The 20,630-nt window shown below is 50.6% G+C and overlaps 3 annotated features.

The window, feature by feature from the left end:
- Positions 5,074-5,784: an enhancer, noted in NCBI's record as "H3K4me1 hESC enhancer chr17:216510-217220 (GRCh37/hg19 assembly coordinates)". NCBI's record gives its function as "activates a minimal SCP1, AML or CMV promoter by ChIP-STARR-seq in naive H9 embryonic stem cells {active_cell/tissue: H9 hESC(naive)}" and the evidence as "EXISTENCE:reporter gene assay evidence [ECO:0000049][PMID:30033119]".
- Positions 5,074-6,582: a biological region, named in NCBI's record as "P300/CBP strongly-dependent group 1 enhancer GRCh37_chr17:216819-218018".
- Positions 5,383-6,582: an enhancer, noted in NCBI's record as "P300/CBP strongly-dependent group 1 enhancer chr17:216819-218018 (GRCh37/hg19 assembly coordinates)". NCBI's record gives its function as "activates an origin of replication core promoter dependent on BRD2, BRD4, P300/CBP, MED14 and CDK7 cofactors, with strong dependence on P300/CBP, by STARR-seq in HCT116 cells {active_cell/tissue: HCT116}" and the evidence as "EXISTENCE:reporter gene assay evidence [ECO:0000049][PMID:35650434]".

The raw sequence follows: 20,630 nt of genomic DNA on the forward strand, positions 1-20,630 counted from the left end.
AGTTCCGGGTGGGCGTGGGCTTGGCGGGCCCCGCACTCGGAGCAGCGAGTCAGCCCTGCTGGCCCCGGACAATGGGGAACTTAGCACCCGGGCCAGCGGCTGCAGAGGGTGTACTGAGTCCCCCAGCAGTGCCAGCCCACCGGCGCTGCGCTCGATTTCTCGCCGGGCCTTGGCTGCCTTCCCACGGGGCAGGGCTCGGGACCTGCAGCCCGCCATGCCTGAGCCTCCCACCCACTCCATGGGCTCCTGTGCGGCCCGAGCCTCCCCGACGAGCGCCACCCCCTGCTCCACAGCGCCCAGTCCCAACGACCACCCAAGGGCTGAGGAATGCGAGTGCACGGCGCAGGACTGGCAGGCAGCTCCACCTGCAGCCCCGGTGCGGGATCCACTAGGTGAAGCCAGCTGGGCTCCTCAGTCTGGTGGGGAGGTGGAGAGTCTTTATGTCTAGCTCAAGGTTTGTAAACACACCAATCAGCACCCTGTGTTTAGCTCAAGGTTTGTGAATGCACCAATCGACACTCTGTATCTAGCTGCTCTGGTGGGGCCTTGGAGAACCTGTGTGTGGAAACTCTGTATCTAACTAATCTGATGGGGAGTGGAGAACCTTTGTATCTAGCTCAGGGATTGTAAACGCACCAATCAGCACCCTGACAAAACAGGCCGCTTGGCTCTACCAATCAGCAGGATGTAGGTGGGGCCAGATAAGAGAATAAAAGCAGGCTGTCCGAGCCAGCATTGGCAACCAGCTCCGGTCCCCTTCCACACTGTGGAGGCTTTGTTCTTTCACTCTTTGCAATAAGTCTTGCTACTGCTCACTCTTTGGGTCCACGCTGCTTTTATGAGCTGTAACACTCACCGCGAAGATCTGCAGCTTCACTCCTGAGCCCAGCGAGACCACGAACCCACCAGAGGGAAGAAACTCCGAACACATCTGAACATCAGAAGGGACAGACTCCAGACGCGCCACCTGAAGAGCTGTAACACTCACCGCGAGGGTCTGCGGCTTCATTCTTGAAGTCAGTGAGACCAAGAACCCACCAATTCCGGACACAAAGTGACCAAATAGGGTCTCATGTGGTTTATTCCTAGAGGCCGACGGATCCCAGGCAGCAGGTTATCCGAAGAAAATGGGAGGGGACTTTGAATACAGGTAACCTCGCCACACATCAACGATGTCCCTTCCCCTCCATAGCTGACCTCGCCAGCCATCAACGACCTTCCTTCCCTCCCTGGCCTTCCTGTAGCTGTCCAGCCACCTTCAGGGGTGGGCTCCGGAGGCCCTGAGTTTACACTGCGGCCAGTCCCCTGGGGCACAGCTGGCTCTTCCAGGGGAGCACCTAAGCCAAACTGGCACATCAAGGTCCCTCCCTTAAGAATCCGGGAAATAAGGCTGGGTGCGGTGGCTCACTCCTGTAATCACAACACTGCGGGAGGCCGAGGAAGGAGGATTGCTTAGAGGTCAGGAGTTCGAGATCAGCCTGGGCAACATAGTCAAACCCCATTTCTACAAAAAAATAAACATAGGTCAGGCATGGTGGCTCACGCCTGTAATCCCAGTGATTTGGGAGGCTGAGGTGAGAGGATCGTTTGAGTCCGGGAGTTTGGGGCTGCAGCGAGCTATGATCATACCACTGCACTCCAGCCTGCGCAACAGAGCGAGACTCTTTCTTGAAAAATTTAAAAAATAAATTAAATTTTAAAAAAGTAAGGCCAGGAGTAGTGGCCCACACCTGTAATCCTAGCACTTTGGCAGGCTGAGATAGGATCACTTGAGCTCAGGACTTCAAGACGAGCCTGGGCAACACAGTGAGACACAGTAGAGCCTTGTCTACTAAAAATTTAAAAAAAACAGCCGGGGCCGGGCGCGGTGGCTCACGCCTGTAATCCCAGCACTTTGGGAGGCCGAGGCGGGTAGATCATGAGGTCAGGAGATCGAGACCATCCTGGCTAACAAGGTGAAACCCCGTCTCTACTAAAAATACAAAAAATTAGCCGGGCGCGGTGGCGGGCGCCTGTAGTCCCAGCTACTCGGGAGGCTGAGGCAGGAGAATGGCGTGAACCCGGGAAGCGGAGCTTGCAGTGAGCCGAGATTGCGCCACTGCAGTCCGCAGTCCGGCCTGGGCGACAGAGCGAGACTCCGTCTCAAAAAAAAAAAAAAAAAAAAAAAAAACAGCCGGATGTGGTGGTGTGTGGCCGGGTGTGGTGGCGTGTGGCCGGGCGTGGTGGCATGTGGCCGGGCGTGGTGGCATGTGGCCGGGCGTGGTGGCATGTGGCCGGGCGTGGTGGCGTGTGGCCGGGTGTGGTGGCGTGTAGCCAGGTTTGGTGGTGTGTAGCCGGGTATGGTGGTGCACACGTGTGGTCCTAGCTACTCTGGAGACTGAAGCAGGAGAATCACTTTAGCCTGGGAGGTCGAAGCTGCAATGAGTCTCATTCATAGATAGATAGATGGATGGATGGATGGACGGACGGACAGATAGATATACACAGGGATATATACATAGAGTTTCATAGATAGATGACAGATAGACAGACAAAAAGCAAAAAGAATCTGGGAAATGGGGTAAGAGACGGAGTCTCAACTCAACTGCCTTTTGCAGTAAGATGCACACTGAGGCTGAGGCCATTTTCCCCTCATGGAAATGTCCAGTTGACAGAAACGGAAAGGTGGCCTGCAGTGAGACCGAGAAGAGGGGAGCCAACATGGAGCTGAAGCAGGACAGAGAGAGGGGCCCCTCCCTCTAGCATTTGTGCTCCATTCAGCCCCTCCAGGGGCCTGAGCGTTGAAATCTTCCTCAGCTTCTATGAGATACTCCAGGGCCTTGGCAGTAAAGTTCCCTTTTTGTCCAGCCTCTGCTGTTTGCAACCAGCCCCAGTGAGCCGCAAGTCCTAGCTGGCCTGATTAATATCATGTCCACTTTCCCACCACCCTTCCATCCAGCAAAACCACCTCACGCCACGCTGAGCTGACTGAGAATACCTGGGAGTATTCAAATCAGTGGCCGGGGGAGAACAAAGGTTTCGGTGGCAGAGGGACCCAGGTCCGGGTCCATCTAGCACAGTGACCTTGAATAAACCTCCCGAAGCGTAATCTCCTCCATCTGGGCTGCTGCCGATACCTCCTCAAATCCACTCCCGGCCCTCCCTGGTCTCTTCTCCTCACTATCCCCACAGTGAGCTCCCCAAAATGTCAGCCCTTGCCAGGTAACGCGCATTTAAAAAAGAAATAAATAAAAATAAAAAACAAAGCATCAGCCCTGTCACGGAACTGCCAGCCTGAAACTGCCCCAGTGGCTTCCTACTGTTCTGATGATACAAGCGAAATCCTCCCCCCAGGGGCCTGAGGTTTCCTTTCCACGCCGCGCGCTTTCCCCTGGGGGCCAGGAACCCTGATTCTTCTGCCTGGGAAATGCTTCCCCCAACTCTTTCCCCACAACCCCTTTTGCCTAATTAACTCTTTAAAATTCATTTTGTCAACATCATTATTGAGATAGAATTCACAAACCACAAAATGTACCTTTTCAAAGTTTACAATTCGGTGGTTTTTTGGTACAGTCACAGGGTTGTGCCACCATTACCGCTACCTAATTCTAGAACATTTTCATCACTCCACAAAGAAACCCATCAGCAGCCGGGCACAGTGGCTCACGCCTGTAATCCCAGCACTTCAGGAGGCCGAGGCGGAAGGATCACCTGAGGTCAGGAGTTCGAGACCAGCCTGGCCAATATGGTGAAACCCTGTCTCTACTAAAAGTACAAAAAATTAGCCAGGCACGGTGGCGGTCACCTGTAATCCCAGCTACTCGGGAGGCTGAGGCAGGAGAAAGGCGTGAACCCGGGAGGTGGAGCTTGCAGTGAGCCGAGATTGCGCCACTGCGCTCAGCCTGGGTGACAGAGCGAGATGCCATCTCAAAAAAAGAAAGAAAGAAGCCCATTAGCAGCCACTCCCTCCCATTCCTCCCTTCTCCACAGTCCCCAGAAGTCACGAATCTGCTTTCTGTCTTATTAATTTGCATAATCTGGACATTTCATATAAACAGAATCATATAATAAGTGGTATTTTTATTCACGATTTCATTTTTCAGCTCTAATCTCTATTATTTCTTTCCTTTTGCTTGCTTTGGGTTTAGTTTGCTGTTCTTTTTCTAGTTTCTTAAGGTGGAAGATTATTTATTTGAAGTTTTTCTTCTTTTTTAACAGAGGTTCTTACAGCTATACATTTTATAGGTTTTGATAGGTTATATTTTCATTTTCATTCATCTCAACCTACTTTCTAATTTCTCTGTGATTTCTTCTTCTTCTTTTTAGAGACAGGGTCTTGCTATATTGTCCAGGCTGGTCTCAAACTCCCGGACTCAAGCAGCCCTCCTACCTTGGCCTCCCAAAGTGTTGAGATTACAGGCATGAGCCACCGCACCTGGCCTAATTTCTTCTTTGACCCATTGGTGTTTGTTTGTTTGTGTTTGTTTGTTTTGAGACAGAGTCTCACTCTTGTTGCCCAGGCTGGAGTGCAATGCTGTGATCTCAGCTCACTGCAACCTCTGCCTCCTGAGTTCAAGCGATTCTCCTGCCTCAGCCTCCTGAGTAGCTAGGATTACAGGCGCCTGCCACCACACCAGCTAATTTTTTGTATTTTTAATACAGACGGGATTTCACAATGCTGGCCAGGCTGGTTTCGAACTCCTGACCTCAGGTGATCCACCTGCCTCGGCATCCCAAAGTGCTGGGATTGCAGGCGTGAGCCACCATGCCCAGCCAACCCATTGGTTATTTAGGAGTGTGTTCACTTTGGACATTTGTGAATTCCCAAATTTCCTTTATTGATATCTAACTTCATTCTACTACAGTTAGAGAACGTACTTTGTATGACTTGAATCCTTTTAAATTTATTAAGGCCAGGTGCGGTGGTTCATGCCTGTAATCCTAACACTTTGAGAGGCCGAGGCAGGCGGATCGCTTGAGGCCAGGAGTTTGAGACCAGCCTGGCCAACATAGCAAAACCCCATCTCCTCCAAAAATACAAAACTTAGCTGAGCCTGGTGGTGCAAACCTGTAATCCCAGCTACTCAGGAGGCTGAGGCATGAGAATCACTTGCACCCAGGAGGCGGAGGTTGCCAAGATTGCACCGCTGCACTCCAGTCTGGGTAACAGAGAGAGACTTCATCTTAACAAAAATCAGTCAGGCGTGAAGGCACGTATCTGCCGTCTCAGCTACTTCTGGGAACTGAGGTGGGGGACTACCAGAGCCTGGGGGGTTGAGGCTGCAGTGAGCCGTGATCATGCCACTGCACTCCAGCCTGGGAAACAGAGCAAGACCAGAAAAATTACCGAGTCTTGTTTTACGGCCTAACATATGGCCTCTCCCAGAGAACACCTCCCGGGCACGTGAGAAGAACGTGCGTCCTGTGGTTGCTGGGTGGCGTGTTCTGCAGATGTCTGTCCTGCCGGGCACGTGAGAAGAACGTGCATCCTGCAGTTGCTGGGTGGAGAGTTCTGCAGATGTCTGTCCTCCCGGGCACTTGAGAAGAACGTGCATCCTGCGGTTGCTGGGTGGAGAGTTCTGCAGATGTCTGTCCTCCCAGGCACTTGAGAAGAACGTGCATGCTGTGGTTGCTGGGTGGAGAGTTCTGCAGATGTCTGTCCTCCCAGGCACTTGAGAAGAACGTGCATGCTGTGGTTGCTGGGTGGAGAGTTCTGCAGATGTCTGTCCTCCCAGGCATGTGAGAAGAACGTGCATCCTGCAGCTGCTGGGTGGCATGTTCTGCAGGTGTCTGTCCTCCCAGGCATGTGAGAAGAACGTGAATGCTGCGGTTGCTGGGTGGAGAGTTCTGCAGATATCTGTCCTCCCGGGCACGTGAAAAGAACCTGCATCCTGCGATTGCTGGGTGGCGTGTTCTGCAGATGCCTGTCCTCCCGGGCACGTGAGAAGAACGTGCGTCCTGCGGTTGCTGGGTGGAGAGTTCTGCAGATGTCTGTCCTCCCGGGCACGTGAAAAGAACCTGCATCCTGCGATTGCTGGGTGGCATGTTCTGCAGATGCCTGTCCTCCCGGGCACGTGAGAAGAACGTGCGTCCTGCGGTTGCTGGGTGGAGAGTTCTGCAGATGTCTGTCCTCCCGGGCATGTGAGAATGTGCATGCTGCGGTTGCTGGGTGGAGAGTTCTGCAGATGTCTGTCTTCCCGGGCACGTGAAAAGAACCTGCATCCTGCGATTGCTGGGTGGCGTGTTCTGCAGATGTCTGTCCTCCCAGGCACATGAAAAGAACGTGCATCCTGCGGTTGCTGGGTGGCGTGTTCTGCAGATGCCTGTCCTCCCGGGCACGTGAGAAGAACCTGCATCCTGCGGTTGCTGGGTGGAGAGTTCTGCAGATGTCTGTTAGGTCCAGTTGATTTACAGTGTTTTCAAGTCTATCTCATTGTTGGTTCTCTGCCTACTCATTCTATCCATTATTGAAAGTGGGACCTTGAAGCTTCCAACGATTATTGTTGGATTTTGTATTTCTCCCTTCATTTCTGTTGGTTTTGGTTCATGTATTTTGGGGGTCTCTTGTTAGGTGCATACAGCTTTATAATTATTAGGCTTTCCTGATAGGTTGACTCCTTTGTCATTATAAAATGTCCCTGTTTGTCCCTAGTAACAATTTTTGCCTTAAAGCCTATTTTGTCTGCTACTTGTGGAGCCACTTCACCACTCTTTCGGTTACTGCTTGAACGGAATATCTTTTTCTGTCCTTTTACTTTACACACATTTGTGTCTTTGAATCTAAAGTGTGTCTCTTGTAAATCCGTTCTGCCATGCTCTTTTTATTGGAGAATTTAGTTCATTTGTATTTAATGTAATTACAGATAAGATAGGATTTATGCCATTTTGCTAGTTGCTTTCCATATGTCTTGTCTTTTTATTCCTATATTTTCCCATTTCTGCCTTCTTTTGTGTTGAATACGTATTTTCTAGCATAACCCTTAATGCTCCTCTTCCATTTTTTAAAGTTATTTTCTTAATGGTTGCCTTGGAGACTACAATTAACATTTTAATTTAAAACAATCTAACCTGGACTAATACTGACCTAATTGCAATAGTACACAAAACCTTTGCTCCAACATCGCTCTGTCCCCTCCACTCCTTTGTGCTATTATTGTTATACAAATTATATCTTGGTGCATTATAAGCCCATCAACAAAGTTTTAACAAGCATTGCTTTCCGCAGTTATCTTTTCAATCAGACAGAAGAATTACTAGCAGAATATACTCACCCCTTTAGATGCTCCTTGTATCGTCATATGGATTTCAGTCACCGCCTAGTGCCCTTTCATGTCGGCCTGAAGGATTCTCTTTAGGATTTCTTATAGGCCATGCCTGCCAGTGACAAATTCTCTCTGTTTTTATTATATTAATCTAGGATGTCTTAATTTCTCCTTTTTTTTTTTTGAGACGCAGTCTCGCTCTGTCGCCCAGGCTGGAGTGCAGTGGTGCGATCTCGGCTCACTGCAAGCTCCGCCTCCTGGGTTCACACGATTCTCCTGCCTCAGCCTCCTGAGCAGCTGGGACTACAGGCGCCCGCCACCACACCCGGCTAATTTTTTTTTGTATTTTTAGTAGAGACGGGGTTTCACCATGTTTGCCAGGATGGTCTTGATCTCCTGACCTCGTGATCCCCCGGCCTGGGCCTCCCAAAGTGCTGGGATTACAGGCATGAGCCACCACACCCGGCCTCTTTTGAAGGATAGTTTTTTGTGGATATAGAATTCTTTAAAGAATTTTTTAAATTCTTTCAGCACTTTGGCTGTGCCACCCACTGCCTCCTGCTTTCCAGGGCTTCAGATGAGAAGTCAGCTGTGCTATTAATCTTCATGAGTGTTCCCTGCCTCATTAACACTCACCTTCAATTCTGAATTCAACCGTATCTTCCTCCCTGGCCCAGGCCAGGCCCTTTGATACCGGCACCTCGTTCCTCCATAATTCCCCTTTGTAGTGATTATCACAGTTGTAATTAAACAATTAATGATGGACAGAGCTCTTTCCTGTATTTTCCCATCACTAGAATGTAAGTTCCATAAGGCAAGAAGAACCAGGCCTGCCTTGTTCACCATTCTGTTGCCCGAAGCTGCTCAACGCCTGGCACACTATGAACTCTCAATAAATATTTACTGAGCGAACGACTGACACTCATCCTAGAGTAGGCTACATGACTGGTCTCAGCTTCTCACTCCCTGCAGTGGTGTAAACAGCCACACCATGCCAGGGCCTACAAGTAGGCAGTGTACATCCCTGCCCTGTGTTGAGGTTGGCTGTGAGCCTTGTGTTAGCTAATGGGATGTTAGTGAATATGATGTGAAAAAAGGCTGGAAATGTACATGTACGATTGAGCTGGTCCTCACTGTGCTCCTCCTGTCACCATGAGACAGAACAGGCCTTGGGTGGTCTCTGTGCTCCTCCCGTCACCATGAGACAGAACAGGCCTTGGGTGGTCTCTTGTGCTCCTCCCGTCACCATGAGACAGAACAGGCCTTGGGTGGTCTCTTGTGCTCCTCCCGTCACCATGAGACAGAACAGGCCTTGGGTGGTCTCTTGTGCTCCTCCCGTCACCATGAGACAGAACAGGCCTTGGGTGGTCTCTTGTGCTCCTCCTGTCACCATGAGACAGAACAGGCCTTGGGTGGTCTCTTGTGCTCCTCCCGTCACCATGAGACAGAACAGGCCTTGGGTGGTCTCTTGTGCTCCTCCTGTCACCATGAGACAGAACAGGCCTTGGGTGGTCTCTTGTGCTCCTCCTATCACCATGAGACAGAACAGGCCTTGGGTGGTCTCTTGTGCTCCTCCTATCACCATGAGACAGAACAGGCCTTGGGTGGTCTCTGTGCTCCTCCTGTCACCATGAGACAGAACAGGCCTTGGGTGGTCTCTGGTCCAAATGGGATCAGAGACACATGGAACAGACCTAAACCCACTTGGAGCTTGAAGTCAGCCAAGTCCTCCTGCGGGCAGCCTAGGTCAGCCAAACCTCACCCAACTCCGAGCTACGTGAGAGGGAAATAAATGCTCACTGTCATATGCCAGTGGGTTTGGGGCAGCTTGTTGCATCCCAATATGGTGGCAATCGATGGCTAAGACATATGCCCCTGTGAGTCTGAAGGCTGGGAGTGAGTGCTGGCGAAGGTCTTCATGTGGCCCACAATTGGGTCCAGATGAGTTCCATAGGCAGATCCACCAGCCTCCTCTGTACTTACAGAATAAAGTTCCCAGAATCCTACAGTCCCGCAACTCATCTCTGGTGCCAGCAGCTCCTGGAGTAGCCCAGAGTGTACTAAGCGCGGAGTACCATGCCAGGCACACAGTAGGCGCTTTGCTGAGTTAGGCTTTGTCCTTCTCCACCTTCCCCCTCACCAATTCCACCACTGGGCCTGAGTTCATCTGCACAGATGAAAATCTGCAGTTCTTCCTCCGTTGTGGGGCTGGACTGGCGGGGGCAGGGGGAGGCACCCTCACCTGTCCCAGGAGCTAACCCTGCTTACTGCCTCAATGACACCCAGACTCAAGTGACGAGGCGAGCCTGGGCCCTGGACACCAGGTCTGTGCAAAGTGAGGTCACCCCGCAGGTGAGTCCTGGCTGCCCCCTTGGCCTGTCCTTTCTACTCTGACTTGGAGCATGACCCTGATGGAAATTTTCAGTTCCGTAAAGGAAATTTTGATTCGATATAGGGCCTTTTTACTCCCAAGTTTCCCCCTTTGCTAAATTAGTTCCCAATCCCTCTGCCAAGGGTGACTCTGTTCACCCTCTGATGCTGAAACCTGAAGAGGGGTTTGTGAGGAGTCTGAGGCCAGCCCAGCCCTCACGGTGCTTCTGTGCAGGATCAGAAGAGGTGCCCCTCATGGCGGCACTTGTCTTCCACCTGGTTAAAAAGCACCATAATAAACCAATAATGTTAATTCCATTCATTAGAAAGTTACCAACAAACCACACAAAAAGCTCCTTCTAGGCAGACCCACCACATCCAGAACTACCTGCAGCTCTCGCCGAGCAAGACGCTCAAAGCAGTTACCTCCTCAGCAGTATCCCCACGATAGACCGCTGTGGTCTGAATGTTTGCGACCCGCGAAAGCTCCCGTATTGAAACCCTAACACCCCAAGGCATGAGGAGGCGGGGCCTTTAGGAGGTGATTAGGTCGTATGGGCAAGGTCCTCATAAATGGGATTAGTGTTCTTGTAAAAGGGGCTTTTCTACCCCTTAAGATTAAGGTGTTATAAAACCCAAAGGGAGGGACTCAAACCACTGTTGCCAAATGATGACTGAGACAGTGTTAGATCTAACTTGACCGACTCCGTCTTGCTCCTAACCTCCAAGCTGCCCTTGTTCATTCCTGGGCGTAGGCTGAACTAACTTTAGGAGAAACTTAGTTTATAGTTTATAGTTTAAACAAAGACGGTAACAGCCCTTTCCCAAAGCAGACCTCCTTCTTCCCCGGGGACTAGTCTGCCTTTGTAGGACTAACTTTAGCCCCAAGATTAGAAATTATGGTTTAGCAGTCATGCAGCTGGAGGCTACAAGATTCTGACCCTCCCTAGCTGCTCCTAAGATCAGCGCTTGAGATATTTTGGAAACCCTGCACTTGATGGATCAGCTGGCACCACCCAGATCAATAAACTGGCTCATCTGATCTTGAGGTCCCCACCCAGGAACTGACCGAGCACAAGAAGACAGCTTTGACTTGCTGTGATTTCATCTCTGACCAATCAGCACTCCTGGCTCACTGGCTTCCCCCACCCACCACGTTATCCTTAAAAGCTCTGATCCCTGCATGCTCGGGGAGACTGATTGGAGTAATAATAAAACTCCGGTCTCCCACAAAAAAATAAATAAACAAAAGAGGCTTTTAAGGAAGCCCGTTGGCCCCTCCTGCCATGTGAGGACACAGAAAGAAAGCACCATCTATGAACCAGGAAATGGGCCCTGAGCAGACACAGAATCTGCCCACACCTTGATCTTGAACTTCCCAGCTTCCAAACCGTCAGAAATAAATGTCTGTTGTCTATAAGCCACCCGGATGATGATATTTTCATACAGCAGTCTGAATGGGCTAAGAGACTTCATAGCAAAGAACCATGTCTTGTTTCTGCTCAGCTCACGTCGGAAGTAGAAGGTCATAACAAGCCAGATGGTGTGAGAAAGGTCTTCATGTCCAGATGGGCATCACTGGACCCCGAGAAGTGGTTTCTGCAAATGAGGGAAGCCCCCAGCAGGATTGGAAGTGGCAGGTAAAGAAAGGTCACTGCAGGAATCAGCTCTCAAAACAGGCGGTGGTGGTGGGGAGGGGAGGGGCGAACGCTGGGAAAATACAGGCAACTGAGCGGCTGCTTCGAGACCCAGCCTGGACGGATTTGGGGTTAGAGATAGTTTCACATTCATCTGTGAACCTCACCCATGGCACCTTCTCCTTAATCAGATGCTCCCCAGACCCTGACATTAACAAGGACATGAGCTGTCAGAATTCAGAGACCGGTTGAAATTGGGCCATTTCTTATCACTAATCTGTGTGATTGGATGACATTGAAAAAAGAAACCAGAAGAGAATTCATTTCCTTTTTCATTTTTAAACGAGGCCCCACTTAGAGCAGAAGAGTTTAGGTGTTGGGCCTTCTTAAGCAAACAGTCCTCAAGGGATGGTCTGCACCAAACACCCCCTCACCTAATCCCTGACACTCTACATCAAGGAGCAAGAGGAATGAACCTGGTTTCCAAAAATTAAGTCCAGAAAAGAACATGCATTCCTACATCTCACCTTCTAAATTAAGCCAGTGTTCTCCATTAACGTCCCACTGGGGACTGAGAGAAAATTGTTTCAAAACTGGGAACTAAATTTAAAGTTAGGAAGAAAAAAAAAATAACACTTTACGAGTCCCAAATGTTTGAAGTAGTTTGTTACAAACTTTCAAGTCAGATCTAAAGTGACTGCCTGTTTGAGAGTTCACATTGTCAGCCCAGGAATCCAACTGTCCAAATGGGGTCATGTACAAACTCAGGGATTGGTTAAAGGTCAATTACACCCTCAGTTTTAGCAATACAAGGGGTATACTCCACTAAAGTTTTGGTTCTCGTAGTTGGCTGCGCACACTGTATCCACTGGGGTTGTAAGCAACAGAAATCAAGTCTGCACGACTTAAGCAGAAAGGAATGTACTGGCAGAATACCTTGGGGATACCTCGTAGCTCAGAACCAATCAGAAGGCTGAAGACCCTGATGGAAACTGCAACAGTCTAAGGCCTTCAAGTCCCATCACCTTCCACTATGGAAGTAGTGGCTCCAAAATCCTTTCTCCCCTTGCTTCACTCTGCCAAGTTTCAGATCCCGGAGTGGACAGCCCAGCAAAGTAGCCTGGCGTGGGCCCAGGTCCCATCCCTTGAGCTGGGTGATGACTACATGGGGTGTGTCCACCTTGTGAAAATGCAGAATACTTCTGATGCATGCAGTTTTCTGAAGAGATGCTACGCTTCCTTTTTTTTTTTTCCTTTTGAGACAGGGTTTTGCTCTGTCACCCAAGCTGAAGTGCAGTGGGACAAGGGTCACTGTAGCCTTGACCTCCCACCTCAGCCTCCCAAGTAGCTGGGACTACATGTGCATGCTACCACACCTGGCTAATTTTTCTATTTTTTTAGAGATGGGTTTTTGCCATGCTGCCCAGGCTAGTCTCAAACTCCTGGGCTCAAGCAATCCACCCACCTCAGCCTCCCAAAGTGCTGGGATTACAGGCGTGAGCCACCATGCCAGGCACTATGCTTCAATTTTTTAAGAAAAAACGTTCACCTATCCCATGACCGAGCAATTCCACTCTTAGGAAAAGTAAAACAGGTAAGAGGGCCAGGTGCAATGGCTCACACCTGTAATCCCCAGCACTTTGGGAGGCGAGGCGGGCGGATCACAAGGTCAGGAGATTGAGACCATCCTGGCTAACACAGTGAAACCCCATCTCTACTAAAAATATAAAAAATTAGCTGGGTGTGGTGGCGGGTGCCTGTAATCCCAGCTACTCGGGAGGCTGAGGCAGGAGAATGGCGTGAACCCGGGAGGTAGAGTTTGCAGTGAGCCAAGATCGCGCCACTGCACTCCAGCCTGGGCAACAGAGCGAGACTCCGTATCAAAAAACAAACAAACAAACAAAAAAAACAGGTAAGAGAAACAAAGTATATGACGGGAATGAAAAACAAGGTCAACATGAATACTTATGGCCACTCCATTGATAATAGCCAAAAATGAACACAGCCCAGAGGTCCATCACCAGGTGAATAGATAAGCAACTTATACATACTCATAGCAAGGAATACTGCTGACCAAAAGGAAGCAACTACCGACCCAAACAACAACTGGGGTGAATCTCAACAACGTCATGCCAAATGAGAGCGAGAGACGCCTTTCACAAAAGAACACACGTTGTATGATCCCATTTACATGAAGTTCCAGTACAGGTAAAATTAACCTATGGTAGCTGGGTGCAGTGGCTCATGCCTGTAATCCCAGCACTTTGAGAGGCTGAGGCTGGAAGATCACCTGGGGTCAGGAGTTCAAGACCAGCCTGGCCAACATGGTGAAACCCAGTCTCTACTAAAAATAGAAAAATCAGCTGGGTGTGGTGGCACACGCCTGTAATCCCAGCTACTCGGGAGGCTGAGGCGGGAGAATCACTTGAACCCAGGAGGCGGAGGTTGTAGTGAGCAGAGATCGCACCATTGCACTCCAGCCTGGGCAACAAGAGTAAAGCTCTGTCTCAAAAAAAAAAAAAAAAAAAATTAATCTCTGGTGAAAAAACTCCAAAGAGTGGCTGACTGCAGGGGGAGTGGGACAGGGATTGACGGGGACGGGGTGTGAGAGTGACTGACTGCAGGGGGAGTGGGACAGGGATTGACGGGGATGGGGTGTGAGAGTGGCTGACTGCGGGGGGAGTGGGACAGGGATTGACGGGGACGGGGTGTGAGAGTGACTGACTGCAGGGGAAGTGGGACAGGGATTGACGGGGACGGGGCGTGAGAGTGACTGACTGCAGGGGAAGTGGGACAGGGATTGACGGGGACGGGGTGTGAGAGTGGCTGACTGCGGGGGGAGTGGGACAGGGATTGACGGGGACGGGGTGTGAGAGTGACTGACTGCAGGGGAAGTGGGACAGGGATTGACGGGGACGGGGCGTGAGAGTGGCTGACTGCGGGGGGAGTGGGACAGGGATTGACGGGGACGGGGTGTGAGAGAATGCTCTGGGACAGTGGTCACGTTCTCTATTTTGATAGCAGCCTGGGTTGCACAAGCCTGCGTGTTTATCTGAGCTCATCAGATGGAGCAGGTAAGATTTGTGTATTTCGTTGCATGCATGTTTTACCATGGAAGAAAAATACCATAAACAACTACTGAACTTTAGTTCATGGTAAGCTTACTGAAGCATTTGACTATTTTGTTCAAAAGATGCATTAAGATAGATAAAAAGCAAGCCACAAACTGAGAGACATATTTGCAGCATAATAGACATCTGATTAGTACCAGTACGCGGACATACGGAGATCTCCTACAAATCAATAATAATCTAAAAGGGAAAAAATGGGTAAAGAAAAGTGCAGTGTGCAGATGAGCTAATACTTCAAGTCAGTTAGGGAAAGAGAAGGATACCTCAAATCTAGTAACACCAGTTCCTGGACCCGAAAGGCTGAGGGATAAAGGAGGAGGAAGACTCTCACCATTTGCCTTTTTACACCTTTAGAATTTTAAATGACATGATTTTTTTTTTTTTTTGAGACAGAGTCTCGCTCTGTTGCCAATGCTGGGGAGCAGTGGTGCAATCTTGCTCACTGAAACCTCTGCCTCCCAGGCTCAAGCAATTCTCTTGCCTCAGCCTCCAGAGTATCTGGGATGACAGGTGCCAGCCACCACACCCAGCTAATTTTTGTATTTTTAGTAGAGATGGGGTTTAGTAGAGATGGGGATGACCATGTTGGCCAGGCTGGTATTGGACTCCTGACCTCAGGTGATCCACCCGCCTCGGCCTCCCAAAGTGCTGGGATGACAGGCGTAAGCCACTGCACCCGGCCCCTTAAATGACATGCTCATAATGTATCTTCCAAAAATAAATTAAATTTAAGTTTAAAATACAGCTTGTGGGCAAAGAAAGTGAACTGAAATAATAGGTCAACAATTTGGAAAGAAAGAAAATCGAGGTCTTCCCTTCCATCACAAAACAAAATAAATTTTGATTGGATTAGCATTGAAAGTCAAAGAGAGCTGAATGGAAAGGCTGAAACCAAAAAAGAACCTGAAGAAAATATAGAACTGAACATTTATCTGAACTTGGGGTGAGGAAAACGTTTCAAACCCCAAAACAGAGGGTTTTTGAAAAATCATAAGATGAAAAGACTGATGGACTTAATGAAATGCATTAGTCAGTTCAGGCTGCCATGAAATATGCAGACAGGGCGGCTTACACAGCTGGCATTTCTTCTCACAGTCCTGGAGGCTGGGGAGTCCAAGATCAAGGTGCCAGCTGGCTCCGATTATGGCGAGGCCTCTCCTCCTGGCTTGTGGACATGGTGAGGGCCCAGGGGAAGGGAGAGACAGAGACAGAGAGAGTGGGGAGAAGAGGGGGAGAGAGAGAGCAAGAGAGAGAGAGAAGGAGAGAGAAAGAGAGAGGGAGAGAGAGATTGAGAAAAGGAGAGAGAGACAGAGATTGAGAAAGAGAAAGAGAGATTGACAAAGGGAGAGAGAGGCGAGGCGCAGTGTCTCGTGCCTGTAATCCTAGCACTTTGGGAGGCCGAGGTGGGAGGGTTGCCTGAGCCCAGGAGATGGAGACCAGCCTGGGCAACACAGCAAAACCCCATCTCTGTTATAAAACATTTTTTTTCAGTTTAAAAAGAGAGAGAGAGAGAGAGATTGACAAAGAGAGAGGTTGAGAAAGAGAGAGTGGGGAGAGGGGAGGGGGATGGGGAAGGGGAGGGAGAGCGCTCTCCAGCATCTGTGTTTATACGGACACTAACGTATTGCATCAGGGCCCCACCTTTCTGACCTCATTTAACCTTAATTACTTCCTGACTCCACACACAGCTGCACTAGGGGTGAACGCCACAACCCAGGAATACTGGGGAACACAAACGTTCAGTCTGTATTACCACATAAACATTTAAACCTTCTCTATGTTTAAAAATAATCGTAATACTTGGTATGCAACAAGATCTTTAAAAAGAGAAAAATAACCAAAGAAAAATGCCAAAAGGAGGGGAAAAATGTTTGTTACATATGTCAGTCAATATAGAGAAATCAACGCAGGTTACCAAATCATGTCTACAGTATCATCTCCATTTTTAAGCAGTAAACACTGGCTATCTCTGGAGGTTGGGAATCACGGATTTTTATTTTCCTCTTTGTGCTTTCTGCATTTTCTAAATTTTCCACAATGAACATGAATTACTTTTATAATTTAAAAAAAAAGACTTTTTTTTTAAAGAACTCTTATGTGAAAGTCAAGCAACATCCAGGCGGACAGTCCAGTTCTGCACAGACTTTAGGGGATGGCTGGTGAGCCTGGCAGAGCGTGAGCAAGGAGCCGGCACCACAGACCCGGGAGGCCATGGGCTGTATTACCCTATAGACAACAGGAAACCCTGGAGGTGCCCAGAGGAGGAGGGCACAAGAGGGAACGTAAACCAATGAAACTCTTGCCCCATGGAAAAGGGAAGGTGTAGGCTCCAGAGGGACAACAAAGGCAGATTTCAGCTCAAAAGAGGGAAGAATTTCCACCTTCTGAGCTGCCCCTGAATGCAAAGCATTATGCAGTGAAGCTCTCTGTCTCAGTCCACCTAGGACTCAGGGACCAATGGAGCAAAGAATCTCCACTCAGGAAGGGGTTTAGACTAGACATCACTTTTTTTTTTTTTTTTTTTTGAGACAGAGTCTTGCCCTGTCGCCCAGCCTGGAGTGCAGTGGCTCAATCTCAGCTCATGGCAACCTCCACCTCCCGGGTTCAAGTGATTCTCCTGCCTCAGCCTCCCAAGTAGCTAGGATTACAAGCGTGTGTTGCCACACCTGGCTAATTTTTACATGTTTAGTAGAGATGGGGTTTCACCATGTTGCCCAGGCTGGTCTTGAACTCCTAACCTCAGGTGATCTGCCCACCTTGTCATTCATGTTCTTATATAAAGTTCTAATTCCTTTTCAACGTTGCGCAGTAGCCCAAGGTATGAAAATACAAGTCTACGGAGCTGTCTCACCACGAACAAACATTCAGACTGTGTACGATCTTTCACCACCACAGACCGTCACAAAGGCTGTCCCAGAAGTTGTCACCTGTGCACAGGTGCCAGCATTTCTTTAGGGTAGATCCTGAGAAGTAGAATCACTGAATCACTATGTCACAGGGCAGCTGCATTTATTTTAACAGTTCTCACCAAACTGCATCCACCATGATGTTCCTTTCCAAGCCTCGGATCCCAGAGATTTACAGACCCCATCTCTATGATATGTCTCCTTGTCGGCTTCAGCCAGGCATTCATACCTCCCTGGGATACTCCAGGCCTCAGTGCAGCTCTGTGGCTCCTCCTTACTATGAAAACCATCACCCACCCCGAGACAGGCTGCCGACATCATCGGCAGCCTTGGAGCACAGCCCAAATGGTCGCCCATCCGGCTACTGGTGGAGAAGACTCTTGGATGAGGAAGGCAGGCCTCCTAACTCTGAGATGCTGCACCTCTGTCAGTCAGGGGGTACTCCATCACTCCATCCATGAGTGAGAAGGAGGGGCTGGGCAAGAGGAGACTAAATCCTGGCGTCACTCAACGGCTTGGATGGGCCAGAACCAAAGATGAAAATGCACCAACATGTAAATTTAGCCATGAGCACAGCTGGGTGATGGAGACAGGACCGGATCGTCAGTATCCAACACGCAACTGATTAAGTGTCCATGGTAAAATAAGTGCTCTTACACGAGGTGCTAACGACGTAATTGCGGTCTTACATAAGGTGCTCTGGTATTTTCAGCAGCAGATAACTGCCATGTGAATGGAGAAGCCGCCCTCCCAATGAATGCTGCTTACTGTACAGGCTGGCACAGGCCTTGAAATGCCAGTGCTTTGCAGGCAGCCAGCTGCTGTCAGAGGGGTGAGGATGTCTGTGCCCGGGGCTGCAGCTCCGCTCGTGTTCTGCAATTTCTACAGGCTGGCCGGACTCCCCACAGCCAGCTGGGGGTACACACATCACCGTGCTTACACCCCCAAGCATCCCAAAAGCAAGGAAAAGGGCCACTTCAGGGGCTCTCCCAACCCAAGCAGCCACCTTGTAGCTAAGAGAGCTCTCCCCAGACCCAGCAGGGTGGAGGTAGACAGGAAGAAACCAGAGCCAGCCCGGGCTCAGCTGCCTCGTTCCCAGAGCTGACCCCTCCGGAGCCTAGGTGCTCACCCTCATGTCACCTCCCACCTGTCACGAGAAACCCAAGGCTGCAGGTACAGTGAAGTCAAAGTGGCCTCTTGGAATGGTGTGTCTGTATTCACGTCCCGGGTTTAGGATCCCTGCAGCCTTTTTTCCTGTTTCGCTCCATTGTATTAAGTCTAACACATACACAGAGGAGTACACACATGGAACGGGTAAGCGTTGGCATTGATGGAAAGAACGCAGCCCTCTGACTGACACCCCATTAAAGGAACCAGGCAGTACCAGCCTCCCGGAAGCCCTTCTCATCCCTCCCGGAAGCCCTCCTCATGCTTCCCGGAAGCCCTCCTCATCCCTCCCGGAAGCCCTCCTCATGCTTCCCGGAAGCCCTCCTCATCCCTCCCGGAAGCCCTCCTCATCCCTCCCAGAAGCCCTCCTCATCCCTCCCAGAAGCCCTCCTCATCCCTCCCGGAAGCCCCCCTCATGCTTCCCGGAAGCCCCCCTCATCCCTCCCGGAAGCCCTCCTCATCCCTCCCGGAAGCCCCCCTCATGCTTCCCGGAAGCCCCCCTCATCCCTCCCGGAAGCCCTCCTCATCCCTCCCGGAAGCCGTCCTCATCCCTCCCGGAAGCCCCCCTCATCCCTCCCGGAAGCCCTCCTCATCCCTCCCGGAAGCCCTCATCCTTCCTGGAAGCCCTCCTCATGCTTCCCGGATGCCCTCCACATCCCTCCCGGAAGCCCTCCACATCCCTCCCGGAAGCCGTCCTCATCCCTCCCGGAAGCCCCCCTCATGCTTCCCGGAAGCCCCCCCTCATCCCTCCCGGAAGCCCTCCTCATCCCTCCCGGAAGCCCCCCACATCCCTCCCGGAAGCCCTCCTCATCCCTCCCGGAAGCCCTCCTCATGCCTCCCGGAAGCCTCCCCCCACATCCCTCCCGGAAGCCCTCCTCATGCTTCCCGGAAGCCCTCCTCATCCCTCCCGGAAGTCCTCATCCCTCCCGGAAGCCCTCCTCATGCTTCCCGGATGCCCTCCACATCCCTCCCGGAAGCCCTCCACATCCCTCCCGGAAGCCGTCCTCATCCCTCCCGGAAGCCCTCCTCATCCCTCCCGGAAGCCCTCCTCATGCCTCCCGGAAGCCCCCCACATCCCTCCCAGAAGCCCTCCTCATCCCTCCCGGAAGCCCCCCCCCCACATCCCTCCCGGAAGCCCTCCTCATGCTTCCCGGAACCCCTCCTCATCCCTCCCGGAAGCCCCCCTCATGCCTCCCGGAAGCCCCCCACATCCCTCCCGGAAGCCCTCCTCATCCCTCCCGGAAGCCCCCCACATCCCTCCCAGAAGCCCTGCTCATCCCTCCCGGAAGCCCCCCCCCCCACATCCCTCCCGGAAGCCCTCCTCATGCTTCCCGGAAGCCCTCCTCATCCCTCCCGGAAGCCCTCCTCATCCCTCCCGGAAGCCGTCCTCATGCCTCCCGGAAGCCCTCCTCATCGCTCCCAGAAGCCCTCCTCATACCTCCCGGAAACCACGACCCCCACTTCCAACACCGTCCGTGCATTTGGCCCTTTTGGCACTTTATAGACGTGGAATCAGGCAGGACATGCTCCTTTCTGTCTCGTTCCTTTTACTCGACATTGTGTTTGTGTGATTCATCCACGTATGCTGTGTGGTCAGATTGTTCCTTCTCACCACAGTGGGGTGCTCCATTGTCTGCCTTCACCCCAGTTTATGTGTCCATTCTACTGCTGATAAACATTGTAGGATTTCCCTGGGGGGTGGATTTGGCTATTACAAATAGTGCTGCTATGAACATTCTAGTATATGCCTTTTCACTGCAACCCATCCTAAAATATACATCATTGAAAACTACTGCTTTAAGCCTCAAATCTTGGGAAAGCCAATGTGCCCCACCTCTCCAATTTACCCTTTCATTCTTTAAACATGGTCCTTCCACTGTCTACAGAGCACCATGTAAAGGGTATTGGCCATCTCCTTGAAGTCTGGGTAATAAAAAGATGAAAAAAAAATTTTTTAAAGACTATTGGCCAAAGGAGTCAGACTTTCTAGGACTAAAGTTCCCTCCTTGCTGTGTGTCTTTGGACAAACACTCAACCTCTCTGTGCAGCAGTTTTCTTACCTGTAACATGGGAATAGTACTCTAACATCATTTGGCTGAGGTTTAAACAAGGGAGCAGCATCTGCACAAGGTGAGCACTCATCAGTGTTCATAGCAATGATTCCTGCTGAAGGTATCC

This window comes from Homo sapiens, chromosome 17, assembly GCF_000001405.40.
Source record: "Homo sapiens chromosome 17, GRCh38.p14 Primary Assembly".
NCBI classification, from domain to species: Eukaryota; Metazoa; Chordata; class Mammalia; order Primates; family Hominidae; genus Homo; species Homo sapiens.